The following is a 14,606-nucleotide window of genomic DNA, read 5'->3' on the forward strand; positions in this document are numbered from 1 at the left end:
ATTGATAAAATCTTGCATTCTTAGAATAAGGCCAGTAACCCAGGACTTTTCACTTGGAGAGTCAGAAGAAGCTAGATGATACCAGAATAGAAACTGTCTACTTTAAACCGTATAGTGCCAGTCCTACTTGTTTACCTCAAAACCCTGCCTCCTCCATGACATCACTGCTGACTCATCCATGCCTTCTCTGAGCTTTTAGAGTATGTACCATTGATGATGTTCATTTGACACTTTGCATGTGCTGTTCTATACATGACCTATCTACCAACTAGAATATAAGCCCCTCAAAAAACAGCAACAAATAAGCACACAATAAATCCTTGCTTAAAATGCTTAAAATATCCTTGTGGATGAGATGGTGAAACATGAGTTGGGTAATAATACAGCATTCTCAGAAAATGAGACTTGTGGACATATGAGTTTTCTGGAGAACTGCTGTTTTAATCTCCTAACACTGAAACTTTAAAATCATTCTAAATTGTACTTCCCTGCTTTGTTAACCGAGTATTCTGGCCATGCTTAATACACTTCTTGATTTTAACTTTTTCTTGTTAAGGACAGTCAATTATGAGGAATATCAGTTATGGTGTTGTGGTAGAGATGTAGCTGTAGATACACAATGTGTGGGATGCAAAACCTCAGCTGTGACCCTGAACAAGGCTTTAACTGGAAAAAGAAAAAAAAAAAAAGGCAGGCATTCTTCCCCTTTGGCATTGACCTCTAACTCTCAGCAGTGATTTATACTTTTCTTCCTCTGCTCTCCTACCCTTCTCTGGCTTCTTTTACCCCAGAGTTACACAATGCAGAGCTGTAAGACTGATACATTTTTAGCAGTGGATACTGTGAAAAGTTGCCATTTCTCCAGATTATGACTTTCTAGCTTGTTTTTCCACTATGTACCATCTTTTTCTCTAGATCTCATTACTGCTTCTAATCTCTAGAGAGGACACAGCATAGTGTAGCAAAGAGAACCTTCTGGAGCCAGGGTACCTGGATTCAAATCCCAGTTTGGCACTTATTGAAAGCCCTAACAACAAATTATTTAACCTCAGTATTCCTCAGTTTCCTCTCCCATACCACGAGAATATATACCAACTTCACATGATTGTTATGAGAATTAATGAGTTAATATTTACAAAGTGCTTAGAACCTGGCCTACCACATAGTAAGCATTACATAGGTGTTATTTAAAAAATGGATAAAATACTATCAACTTGAACTCCATCACTCTCTTATCTCTCTGCCTCTTAAAACTGCTCCAGTGTTTCTCGTTTTGGTTGTGTTGTGCTAGTGGAGATAGGCGAGGAGCGGAGGGTCTGACATTACTGAGGGATCCCAGTGCCCCTTCCCACTGGTCAGAGCCTCAATGAGACACAGGAAAAGGGAAGGAGAGTGTCAGATATATTCATCACTGCTCCGTTAGCCATGCGAAGGTGAAGAAAATAGGGATGTTTATTTAACCAGCATAACAGGAATCCAGGGACATGTGTAACTGCTGTTTTCAAATATGCGCAGGGCTGGGCAGGAGAAGAGATAATAGCATTTAGAATTCTATGCAACAGCTACAGGCTCCCCTTCACTGAACATGTTTAAGCAGGGTACTGGTGGCCAGGTGTCAAGGATGCTAAAGAAAGAATTTTTAGTCAGATAATCTTTAAGATTTCTTCTACCTCTAAAATCTTGGTAATCCTAGTATGAGTCACGAAGTGGTTACAACCTAGATGTGAGTCACACATCGCCAACGCGCTCCCGAAGGCACAGAATTCACTCCCCACAGTGCTTGGCATCTTACCACAGACCTAAGTGAGGAATTCTAGCCCTGAAGCTGCATATAACCCAGCTCAGAGAAACAAAAACTTTCCTAAAACTCAGGGCGTCGGTTAGCTGATTGGCAAATACAGTAACGCACACATCCCAAACGGGACTTGGCAAAACGGTGTGCATCTGGATTAACTGTCATACAGTCTCCACGTCACTCTTCCACGAGGCCGGACAGAAGCGGGCAGAAGTGAGCAGCAGCAGGTTCAGGGGAAGGGGTAGGGTGGCCGGGATGAATGGGAGGCCAGCGAACTGACCTACGGCGGGGAGGGACAAAGGATCAGGGAGCGCACGCTGGGCGGGGAGGCCGGGAGGAATACCCCAGGCGGAGGAGCCGGGCTCGGGACCAGGCTGCGAACTGGTGACAAAGTCGGTTATCGTGGAGGGCCCTAAGTACCAGCGAGGGGCCCCGCGGGGGTCCTCTCTGCCTCGGGAGCTGGGCTCAACCACTCGCCCCGCGGAGGGGGCATCGCCCGGCCGGGGGCACCCGGGAGCCGCAGACCCGAGGCAGGTACTGGGGGCAAAGGCCCAGGCCGGCACCCCCGCCCCGCAGCCTCCCCTGCTGCCGAGTCCACTCAACCCTGCCGCCGGAGTTTGGATTATCCAGTCTCTCGCCGCCCGGGCCGAGGCCCGTCCCGGAGCCCCACACAGGCGGTCCGACAAGAACGCCGCAGTGCCGGCGCGGAAAGTGGGGCAGCGGCTGCCTCCCGTCCGGTCGTGCGAGCGGCGGCCGCCATCGCGGGCCGCGGCGGGAAGGAGAAGAGGGGCCGCGCCAGGCGCCACTTTACCTGAGAAACCAGCGGGAGTAGCGTCTGCTCCACCGAGCGAGTTTTGATCTCCAGTCCCGAGTCGAGGGCGAAGCCCGAAGAGCCGGAGCCGTAGACTGCTCCGGCGCCGCCAACGCCGGCGGGTCCGGGAGAGGCGGCCATGGCCCTCGGTCTATCCCGCAGCCGGGACTCCGCGCCGCGGCGAGCCTGCCGCCAGTCAGCCCACCCGCCCGAGGCGGCGGCGACAGGACACTCGCGCCAACCGAGACCCCGCCCCCAGGGGCCCGCCCCCCCAGGGCTCCGCCGCCAACCCTGCGTCCCCGACGCCCGTCACCGTATGTCCCCGCCCACCCCCGGCCTCTGCCCCGCCCGCGCAGTCCAGCCTGGTGTGGGCTCCCTGCAACCCCACCCCCTAAGCCGGGTCCCGCCCCCACATGGCCCCGCCCTTATCTCTTCTCAGACCCCTTCCATGGGTTCCAGGCACCTTCTCGCCAGGGTGGCGAGGAGAAACAAAACACATCTGTCACACAGCCACATGGCCTCCTCTTACTTGGACAGACAAGCGTCCCCAGCAAAGCTTCCCGTCCTCTCGATAGGTGACTCGTCCTAAATCAGCTCTGAATTCCCGCAAAGACTTCTGGAAGCTGTGCTGGGGTTGAAACTGGTAGACCAAAACCAGAATCAAGTCTGTTGGGAGGGGCCTTTCCCCTGGGACGGGAATTCCAGTGGTAATGTCTTCCTGGGGCTTCTCCGGAAGGTCCAATTTCCACTCCACCCTGCTCATTCTTTCACCATGTATTTCTCACAAACACTTTGAGCTGGATTGAAGGGGAAACATTTGATAATGCAATCATTAATGGAGTATCTGGGTATTCGGCAGGAAGTCAGTATATCTTTCACACTACTGTTTAGACTTATTCAAAAGAAATTTAAAAGAAACATGAAAAAGCCTCATCTACTGTTCAACACTACTTCTTAAAACTATTTTTCGAAGTTTTTTCCTAGTGCCAGGCACAGAGCAGTTTCTTCATAACTGTTCATTGCATGAAAACACCAAGTGTGTATTTCTGACAACTCACTTGAGGGGAAGGGTAAGAATCAGTTCTGTAAGCACAACTCTGAGCTCGCACAGAGCCCCACGATGGGGGCGGGGAGCTGAAGACTCCTATTCTAAGGTCTCCAGGAGCAAGGCCAAAAGGAGGTTGTCAGCAGTATGCACGCCGTGAAGGAATTCCAGACTTAAGCAACAGACTGAGAAGCATGAAAAAATGTTTTGTCAACTACCATATCTGCCAGTGAGAACCTGTCAGAGTAAAAAAGAATCTGAGGCTGGCCAGTCCACCCGGACACCTTGGCCTGGATCATTTCTTCTTCCATAACACCAGATTGATGAGCTGGGTACATCAACCTGAGGCATAAGAAAGCTCTTTCCCAAGCACCGTTGAAAGGCGCTTCACAGTGCTTCAACCTGTAGCTTCAGCTTCATCAATCTACCAGTGCTGCACAGCTGTCTTTGGTATTGAAGATAGCCAAGCTTCAGCTTCTTTTTCTTCATTCAAAAAGGACAGGTCCTCAATCCAACTTTTTCTTCCAATTCTTCTCAGCCAACCATCTCACCACTTCCTTACCTATCACAAGGCCACCTTCCCCTGTGCACTGAGGGCCCTTGACCTCTTTAAGGCGCCCAGTGTCCACTTCCTGGACACACCTTCCCTTACGAAGTTGACAGTATCTCCTAAGAATTCAGTGTACACAATGGTGCCGGAGGAAATGGCATAACAGAAGGCCTAAGAGACGGATGGATTCATGAAACTTTGGCTTCACAAAAGATCAAGTTTTTCAACACACAGGAGATTAAGTTTACCACATGATTCATTCAACACTAGTAATTTTATTTCAAAATATAAATATTTCACATTAATAAAGAAGTTACATCAGTAGGTTGTCAAAGCAAGTTAGCTAAGAAACAGCATTTGTGTGAGAACAGAGGGTATTTATTGTATTCGAATATTCTTTTTTACTTTTGAATTGCCTCCTTCACCTGAGAACCCAGGGATGATACATTTTCAAAGAGTTATGTAAGCAATTACAACTCTATATCAAATCTTAGTTCAAAATCAAATTGTACTGGAAATACACTTCAGTTACCTAAATAAGTGGCACTGCAAAGGGCAAAGAAGGGTTTTCTTTGGGATGGCTACAATGAGAGTTACATCTGCTGGGTCTCTGCAATAAAAAATAAATGATATTTGATAATAAGCCAAAATTATCAGGATTTGCTTCCATACTTTTCACTGTAAAATAAAAAGCTAGCAAAAAGCTAGTAAGAAACCAGATGTCTAGTAAAGAACTCTGGACTTGGAGTCAGAAGTTCTGCAACTAAATTCTGGCTCCATCATTTTGTGGTATAAACTTAGGGGAATATCACCAAAAACTTTTCAGAGCCTCCAGAGCCCCCCCATCTGTACAATAAGGATAATATTGTCTGTCTCACAGGGCTGTTACAAAAGGTGTCTGAAAACTATAAAGTGCCATACAAAAGCATTATTAAAATGTAATATCAATATATCACCACTGTATTTGCACATTAGTTGATCCTTGAAAAACCTGCAAAATTAAACACAATACTGATTTTACACACCACAGGTGGAAAAGAATCTCTATACCTTAAGTATAGCTCTAAACAGCAAATATACTTGCTTTCTGGACTTCAAGATTTATTACACACTACATGGTACCACAGTAATAGATCTGCCATTCAGTATTTCCATTAGGGATGTCTTCTCAAAGAGTTGTAAACTTGATCAAGGGCCATGTTTCTCAAAGGACCCTGTAGTCCTTTGAGATGCTCTGAGGAATAAAGAAGGGGAGTGCAGTCTAAGGTCAAACAGTGTTTGTCCCCTTTTATAAATTCACAATGTGTAATAGCATGTTCAAAACTCTTAGAAGTCCTACAGTAAGGAAACAAACTCAGCATTCCTTCATTTTAATTGACCATGCAATCCCCCACCCCCAACACACACACACTTTTTTTCTTACATCTATTAACATCTCTTGGAACTACTGCTATATGGAACACATTTTGCCAAAAGCTGCTCAACCATGAAGAAAAGGAAAGAGAAGTAGAACAACGGACTGACAGAAAAAAAAGAACTCTATTCTATTCTGAATTCTGTTACTAACTGGCTGTATGTGTATGTCAGACAAGCCACTTAAACCTATGAATTTGGGTCTTTCTCTAGAAAGTGACAGGACCACCTAATTTTAGAAGTCCCATTCTAGCACAGAATTTCTGACTCTAGTAGACAGAACAACTTGATTTATAATTCTCTTAAACTATCAAAAATAACCAAACAGTGGCTGCAGACAGCATGTGTGTTTTTTTTTTTTTTTTTTTTTGCAGGTTCCCAATAATCGGTAAGTTAATAAAATGAATATATTTTGATGGCAGAATGTTGAAAGACAAGAAACTAATAAAAAGTACTTGTTTTTAGCTGGAACTAGCATTTGGAAGTAATGCTAGCCAGAGGCTATTTCCACTGTGAAATGCACACTCAAAGTCCTATTGTAATATTATTTTAAGGGTCTTAGGAGGCCCCTCAGAGGAGACTGCAAGGTCAGGGCTAGAGTATGAGAAGTCCTAAGGGTTTTTGTATTTTGTTTTTTTTTCCTATAAACCCTGAGGTTGAAAGCTCTGGATAGCTCACCTAAATTACTTTCCTCTAATCTAACCCCTCACAGCCTGAATTTCTGAGTATTGCTTGACCAGTAGTGACACATTCCTGAGGCACTAATATAACCCAAATGGAAACTACAGGTCCTAGGAAATCCAGATAGGTCACAATGGGTTCATGTGAAGATCAAGGTGAGCCAGAAGATCTCATCTGCAAGCCATTTAGCAGCCCTTTAACTGTAAAAAGCAGTTCCACTTTCAAAGGCTACAGAGTTTGTTTACATACAAGGTCTCCATGTAACATGTTGGATTTCTTCCCACTGTCATGGGCCAACCCACACTAGACTCAGAAGTCAAGGGAAAGCTCTGCCAGCTAAACACTTCTTATCAAAGAGGGTGTGAAGAAACCTTGCAATTTTAACAATAACTAAGACCAGCATGTAAGGTGGTCTTACAGAGATCACTTGCAGGAACAGATATTGATAGGAACTTCAGAACTCAAACAGCACTCACATAACATGGAATTTATGCTGAAAATCCCATGCCTTCTCTCTCAGAAAAGAGAGGAGCATACCTGTGTGGAGAGCTTGTATTTTCTCCCCTCCCATCCATTCGGTTTACAACTGAATAGCGAATGTGAACTTGAAACTAATCTTTAATAAATCTATAAAATGCAAGATATTATGACCAAGTTCTGTACTCCGTTTTTACTGAAATGACTTCTACTTCATCAACGTACGGTCTGTTCCTGAAGAAACTTCCTCTTTCTGGGTCAAATTCTGACTGAGAATGTAAAGGTAGGTTATCTTTGAGACTTGAGCTTAAAACTCCTACCTTTTCATACCACTTGATCTCTGTTGCCCTGTGAAAATTCTGTAAACCTTCCTCATTGCATCTGAGGAATCATGCTGGAATGCTTCTTTCTGGCTCGGAGGGTTCCAAGACCTCCCCAGCTAGTGGACCTTCCTAGTCCTTATGCCGTTGCTGTAGCAATGGGGCAGGTCAAGTTTCCTGATCATAGCTGTGAAGCACTCTGGGGCACCTCTGCTCCTGGTATTTCAGGGTGATATTACATCACTGCTGCTAATTTTGGTAGCTCTAAAGTATTCTCTTAAAGACCTCTAAGAACCTGATATTTATGCTAATAATTACCCAGCAAGAAACATTAGCTGTAGTTTTTTGCAATATCACTTTATACAGCTAAAATCACTTTGTATATGTATAGTAACTCATTGTATATATTTGTCTCTTATGAATATGTGCTAATTACATCTATAAATCAACCAGTATATAATTAACAAAAACAAATGATTTTTTAGCCTTTTAATGCAAAAAATTTAAATTTAGTATTACATATGATCTGGCTAAGAGCAAGAGGCCTTCTTATGAGTGATCTCCATCACCCTGTACAGTGCCTGGCACAGAATCTAGAGTTTAGCCAACTCTCAACAAATGTTTTAGTGAATGAATGAATGATTGACTAAAGAAAAACATGAGTTACTTAGTGACCAAATCTAATACTCAGTGGAATAGCTGATTATAATCGCTAAAATATTCATAATAGAAATAAAGAGATCTGTATGCAGTCTACTCCATATAGTCAAAAGATCTCATGGTAGCCTTTTCTAAATGAAATTTTTCTTAAGTAGTGTAAGAATAAATTTAAACTAATTATAATTATCAGTGACTTCTTAGGGAGATGTTTTAGGAAAAATTATTAATATTTCTACCTTTAAATACTTTCCAAAAAGGAAATCTTCAACGCTTAAGAACTACCCCCCAACACTTTTTTTTTTCCTTGGGACAGTGTCTCACTCTCTCACCCAGGCTGGAGTGCAGTGGCGCCATCTTGGCTCACTGCAGCCTCGACCTCCTGGACTCAGGTGATCCTCATACATCAGCCTCCTGAGTAGCTCAGACTATAGCCACACCACCGTGCCCAGCTAATTTTTTTTTTTTTTTTTTTTTTTTTGTAGAGATGGGGTTTTGCCATGTTGCCTAGGCTGATCTCAAATCCCTGGGCTCAAGCAATCCACCCACCTCAGCCTTCCAAAGTGCTGGGATTACAGATGTGAGCCACCACCTACAGCCTGGCCAAGAACCCTTTTCTCTCCCACATTCCCCTGGGAGCAGAGGATAGGCCTGATGATTGTTTTAAACAGTAGAAAGGGTTCAGCTAAGAACTACAGTCCACTCTCAGCCCTGTCATGTACTATAGGACAAGTCTTCATTCACAACAAATGGATAGCAACACCAATCTCGTAACACTGGGAAAACTGCATACAATATTTAGAAGGAACACTAATACAGCAGAATCTGCACACAACGGAGTCAAAGATCTGAGGCCAAATCCTACTACACTTTACGACTTTGAGTTGGTCACTTTTCTGAACCTTAGCTTCTCCATCAGTGTAAAACTGATGTAAAATAATATAAAGCTATATGAAAGCTGATGTGATGTACTTGTGAAATAGTATGTGCAAAAGGACTTTGTAAAATGTAAAGCACTATGCTGGTTATTGTGATATCTGAGATATTTTTAAAGTTGCAATTCAATTCAACAAGCATTCATTTAGAGTCATGTGCAAGGCACTGTGCTAAGAGATGGGAAAATACTACATAAATACAAAATTCTGCTGAAAACTAACTTATTGGCAGAGTTCCAAATAATGAAACGGATACATTTAACAAATCAGAGTATTGCTACACCTGAGATTTTTCACTTCAACCACCTGGAAGGAGAAAACCTAATAACAGCATGAATTTTATCATACTGTTACCATTCATAGCAGCTTAATAAGTATTTCACTTCAACGTGGTCAGCCAAGTTTTATAATTTGGCAATAGTGTAAAGAAGCGTGAAGAGAAAAGGAAGAGGAGGAAGAGCTTCAGTCTTTGTATCTCCCAGGGTTATAATATAAAACTGAACATCAAATAAGCCACCCCACCCTTATACTTATGATTTATTATTTCTTAAAGAGCGTATAATACATTGTGGGAGAAGGGTAGAAGATTCATTTTTCCTGCTCACTCAACTACACACTCAAAAGTGAAAGCCCTCTTCCTTGAAAAGTGACTGTCTTAGAAAAGTTTAACAATACATTTCTTAAACCAGGAAAAAATTACACCATCTATTCTTTTAACAGCAGGTAGTTTAGAGTTCTTAAAATAACTTTATAAATATATAATATAGTAACATAGATAACCAAAGTGGAAAAATTTCAAGCCAGGGTACCAGTGTATAAAATGAAACTTTTCAAGCCATCTTAACAACAGTTAAGTGAGCAAACCACCAACTCTGAACTCTCAAGCTGTGTTTTAAAATACAAAGCAGCCCGCAGCAAGTTCTCTCTTGTCCAGGCATTCTGTATGTAAGGCCAGGAGGCTTCTGCTTCTTTCCTGGGTTTTGCTTGCTAGGCACAGCTGGAAGGGCAGAGGGCCACAGCTGAGCTGAACTCGCTGTCAAATTTGAACTTCCTAGAAAAATCACTGCAGAGGAAACCACATCAACCTACTGAAGATTTCAGATCTTCAGAAATGTCACGGAAAGTCCTAAAAGAAAAAAAGACGGAATGATTAGTTGATTACCATAAAACAGTATCCTATTTTTACAATCTTTTGGAGCCCTAATGAGATTATATAGTCACTATTTTTTCTTAAGATTTTCATTGAGTATTGTTTCAAAGTCTGCTAGTTGTTGCTCATTCTCATTAACAAGAACTCCATCTTTTTGCTGGATCTATCCAAAGGACTGTTTCCCCAGACTCCCCTGAAACTACACATGACCACGTGACTACGCTTTGGTTAATGAGATTTAAGTAGAAGTGTTGTGCAACTTCTGGGCAGTTCCTTAAAAGAGAAGAGCAATCTTCTTCAGCTCTTCCACCTTGTTACTGGCTGGAAGTGGATATGATGATTGATGTTAAAGAGGAAAAACCACTAAGAGACCAAAGATTAAATGCTAAGTGGATACATTTTATTACAAAATAGAAATCGTAATCCAACAGAGAGTCCAAGCTCTAAGGGATGTGGTTCAGTGCAGGAAAAATGGGTTAGGTCTTTTCATCAAGTGACCTTGTACTTGAACTGTTTCTGACCCACATTAAACAAGCTAAGCGAACAATGTTATTGGCGGGTAATATCTGGGCTGGATGAAGGTGGCTGAGCACCGTGCCTGACTGCTGCATACATGAAGTGTCTATCTCAGTACTGTAGTAGCTAGCTTGCTTTTGCTACATAATTTACATGTCTGAGCTGAGATAAATCACCTGGCTAAATTTACATCTGTGCTGGCAGCCAAATGGCCAGGTCAGAATTTATCAATGAACATGAGCTCAAGCACCCATATTAGACAAAAATGCCTCACACCAAGGCTGGCAGTACATCAGGATGGAGAGAGGCTGGGACCAGATGTTTATGCAACAGTGATACAGATATAAAGCACAGTCTATTACCATTCTTTTAGATAGAAGTTATATTGCTCCTTTACAATAAGTCCACATATTAGAAATACAGAAAAATATTTGACTTTACAGTTGGTTTTTTGTTTGTTTGTTTGTTTTGTTTTGTTTTGTTTTTTGAGACAAGGTCTCACTCTGTTGCCCAGGCTGGAGTATACTGGTGCTATCTCAGCTCACTGCAACCTCTGCCTCCCAGGCTCAAGCCATCCTCCCACCTCAGCCTCCTGAGTAGCTGGGACTACAGGGAACATGACACCACATCCGGCTAATTTTTATACTTTTGGGAGGCTAAGGTGGGAGGATCACCTGAGCCCAAGAGGTTGAGGCTGCAGTGAGCCTAGGTCATGCCACTCCAGGCCAGCCTGGGCAACAAAATGAGACCCTGCACCACCACCACCACCCCCCCAAAAAAAGCAAGGAAGGGAGGGAGGAAGGGAAGGAGGAATAAATTGAAGTACAATATAAAGTAAGTGTTCCAAAACCTAAGGAACAGCTCACAGTAGTAGAAACTAAAGATAACAAAAAGCTTTTATTAGGTACAATCACCTAAAAACTCATAAAATAAACAATCTGAACTTCAAATGTAATTCCACAATCATGCCCCCTCCCTTACTCCTTTTCTCTCCTCTCAATTCATATAAATATTTAGGAGGCCCATAGGCAAGGCAGAGATCAATTAAAGACTAACCTTGCAGCACTCAATGAGGAAAGTACTTCAGTGTCAAGAGGGGAACAGGTAAAATGTCACAGAAAAGAAATTACCTTTAAGGATGTTCAGTTATCTCAAGGCTCTTTCAAGGATGGTGCCCTAAGCCTCTGGATCTCTGAAGCACGCCTCTACTAGCACAGCTCTACTTTGAAAAACTGTTAGTCTCCTGGCTATGGCTCCTGAGGCTTTGAGAGGGTTTATGTGTGACATGAATACACCAACCATTTTTAAAGATGCTGGCTGATCTAATAATTGAAATGAATTTTCTTTCCTTAAAGACTTTTATGTTCTGAAAACAAGTCCAAAGGTGAAGATTTGTATACGCACATGTATGTTTATATGCATTATCTATCTATCTATCTATCTATCTATCTATCTATCTATCTCAAATCAGTGTTTCTCAATCTTGAAATTTTTCTGCATTATAAGATGTTTTGCAGCATCCCCGGCCTCTATTCAACTAGAATGCCAATCAAAATGACTCCAGACATGAGAAATTGTCTGGGGAGAAAAAAATCACCCCCACACTCCTGTCAGAACTAAAGCTCTAGATAGCTATTTTTCACAGTCTCACCCAAGTTTGTGTTTTTACATTTGTCTACAGGCCAAGCTGGCTGCTGTCTCAGACAATATGAATTTCAGGTAGCACTTAATTCTGAAAAGCCCTGGAAAATCTTTGCAAGCAATAGTCAAAAACTGGCTAATACTACAAAGCATTTTCTAATACCCAACGGGGTTCCCTGACATCTTTTCAAATTTCTCAGATACCTGTAATTTTATATCTATTAACTATTCATTTCCTCTAAATTATGAATGAAGATTTCAGCCTCAGGGCAAAGACACATTAAATAAGATTAAGGCTATGGTTAGCCTAGTCACTGCTCTCTGTTGACAAGTGAGCTTAGCTGTAACCTTGAAATTCCTAACTACTATTCAATTTTGTCTCCAGGCCAAGAAAGTCTCCAAAAGGACTCAGGAAAACAAACAAACAAAACAAAGAAAACCAACAACCTGAAGCAAGCTTAGAGATCAGTTACTAAGAGTCTTTCATCTCAATGTTCTCTCTAGGTATGTAGGGTGTTAGGGTGATTGATGGAGGGGGAGGTGTGTGTATCTACAGAACTCTACTGAAGTAACACTGATCTTGAACAAACCTCTAATTATCTCCAGGAAAACAATATCTATAGTCTAGAGATGCAGAAATTATTTGGTTTTTGGCTTATTCCAGAGGCATAGCTCTAACTAATAAGTAAAGCTCATAAAACTATAACTCTCTACGTTAGAAACAAATACTGTATTGACACTATTTTCTGAAAATGTTTAACATCCTACTTAAACCATCTAAATACAGTATTCTTTCTCAAATTATAAGGATTATTATGCTGCAAGGAATCACAGTATAGAATTTCTCGTCTAAGAATAAGCAATGTGGCCAGGCGCGGTGGCTCATGCCTGTAATCCCAGCACTTTGGGAGGCCGAGGCAGGTGGATCACGAGGTCAGGAGATCGAGACCATCCTGGCTAACATGGTGAAACCCCGTCCCCACTAAAAATACAAAGAAAATTAGCCGGGCGTGGTCGCGGGCGCCTGTAGTCCCAGCTACTCGGGAGGCTGAGGCAGGAGAATGGCGTGAACCTGGGAGGTGGAGCTTGCAGTGAGCCCAGATCGCGCCACTGCACTCCAGCCTAGGCGACAGAGTGAGACTCTGTTTCCAAAAAAAAAAAAAAAAAGAATAAGCAATGCAGAATGGGACCACATGTGACTGTGGTCACATGGGACTAGAGGACTGTTAACATTTTACACCTCCTTTCAGAGCAACAGGGATTGTGCAGTGTAGTCTCTCACTGTTCCTTGCTCTTTGAAAATATTTTGGGATCTGCTTGCCCCAAACTTTCAATGAGATCTTTACAAATTCATTTCACCCCCTACCCTCTTCCCTCCATGTAAATATGTAAATCATTTATGATTTAACAACTCAAGACTTGTTGACTTCCAGCCTCCTAGACAGGCAGAGTTAAGTTATGGATGCCTGAAAGTTGTAACTAACTAATTTAACTTACTTAGCTGGCTCCCCAGCACTGAGTGTGTATTTCCTACACCGGCACCAGCATACAATCCTGTGACAGAGCACATGCAACCACTATTATACATACCCCCTCCCTTCCAACAAATTTGGAATAAAGTTCTAAGGCTAGGATTTACTATGTCCCATCGTCTTTTATCAGCCTCAAGGTTGTATTCTGCTTTTGGTTTCACTAATCCACAAATTCACCAAATCTTCACCTAGCACTTACTATGCGCCAAGCACCATGTTAGGAGTGGTAAAACAGTGGTAAAGTTAGATATAGCTCCCACCTTCAAAAAGCTTACCAACTAATGGGAAAAAACAATGAATTAAACACACATCTATAAAACGCGTATTAAGTTCCAACAGAAGTGTAAGATACCACAGGGACACAGCAAGGACTTCTTACCTAGTTCAGAGTTTCAGTAATGTTTCTCACAAAAAGGGTACTTTGAGTATACACCATGATACTGGACTTGGCTAGGAGGGAAGTGGTGTTCTTTACAGAGGGGACAACACTGCAAAGATGACACTGCCTTCTGGTAACTAAAACAAGTTCAATACAGCTGAAAAATAAAATGCAAGGCACACAGCACAGAGATGAATCTGGAGAAGTAGAGAGAAGAAAGGCATGAGAAGTCTGACAGGGCAAATTAATGTGTTAGCTTTATCTTGAAGGCCATGGGAAGCCACTGTGGGAATTTTAAGCAGCAGCAGAATAGAATATTTATGTTTCAGAAAAATCAGAGAAGCTATACTATGAAGAACAGACTAGAGGGAGGCCAGACTGGAGGCAGGAACCAGTAAAGAGGCTGCTGAAGAAATCCTGGCAGTGGGTCACACCACTGGGAGTAAAGAGGATGAGCAGATTCAGGAAATTTTCAAGTAACAGAAAGTAAATCAAATGTACTCCCTTCCCAGCCCCAGTTTACTCTCTTTTCTCAATCTTCTAAAGTGGAATGACAGCAAGTGCACCCCAAGTGAAATTCTTAGGGTTAGTGTAAAGATCTGCAGAAGCGGGGATGGTTTATGGGGAGTATCTTTATACTTCATTTTGCAGAGACCCAGAGATGGGGTTTCACCATGTTGCTCAGGCTGGCCTCGAATTCCTGG

The 14,606-nt window shown here is 42.5% G+C and overlaps 2 protein-coding genes across 16 annotated transcripts in view, besides 3 other annotated features; both read right to left on the bottom strand.

Annotated features, from left to right (window-relative positions):
* The window catches only part of CTNNAL1 (catenin alpha like 1), a 70,923-nt gene extending 68,119 nt beyond the window's left edge, over positions 1 to 2,804 (bottom strand). For all 5 annotated transcript variants that reach the window (XR_007061368.1, XM_017015250.3, XM_005252291.5 and 2 more), the window contains exon 1: positions 2,607 to 2,804. Coding sequence is in view for 3 of the 5 variants with exons in the window: in XM_005252291.5 (XP_005252348.1) it covers positions 2,607 to 2,747 (141 nt within the window). In the remaining 2 variants the exon portion in view is untranslated. The remainder of the gene's footprint in view (positions 1 to 2,606) is intronic.
* Positions 1,992 to 2,495: an enhancer, noted in NCBI's record as "H3K27ac hESC enhancer chr9:111774967-111775470 (GRCh37/hg19 assembly coordinates)". NCBI's record gives its function as "activates a minimal SCP1, AML or CMV promoter by ChIP-STARR-seq in naive H9 embryonic stem cells {active_cell/tissue: H9 hESC(naive)}" and the evidence as "EXISTENCE:reporter gene assay evidence [ECO:0000049][PMID:30033119]".
* Positions 1,992 to 3,046: a biological region, named in NCBI's record as "H3K27ac hESC enhancer GRCh37_chr9:111774967-111775470".
* Positions 2,157 to 3,046: a silencer, noted in NCBI's record as "silent region_20161". NCBI's record gives its function as "represses an Ori minimal core promoter by ATAC-STARR-seq in GM12878 lymphoblastoid cells {active_cell/tissue: GM12878}" and the evidence as "EXISTENCE:reporter gene assay evidence [ECO:0000049][PMID:35858748]".
* The window catches only part of TMEM245 (transmembrane protein 245), a 104,813-nt gene continuing 94,646 nt past the window's right edge, over positions 4,440 to 14,606 (bottom strand). For all 11 annotated transcript variants that reach the window (NM_001438169.1, NM_001438166.1, NM_001438172.1 and 8 more), the window contains one exon: positions 4,440 to 9,810. In NM_001438169.1, coding sequence (NP_001425098.1) covers positions 9,765 to 9,810 — 46 coding nt within the window. In that variant the 3' untranslated portion in view covers positions 4,440 to 9,764. The remainder of the gene's footprint in view (positions 9,811 to 14,606) is intronic.

This window comes from Homo sapiens, chromosome 9 (genome assembly GCF_000001405.40).
Source record: "Homo sapiens chromosome 9, GRCh38.p14 Primary Assembly".
NCBI lineage: Eukaryota > Metazoa > Chordata > Mammalia > Primates > Hominidae > Homo > Homo sapiens.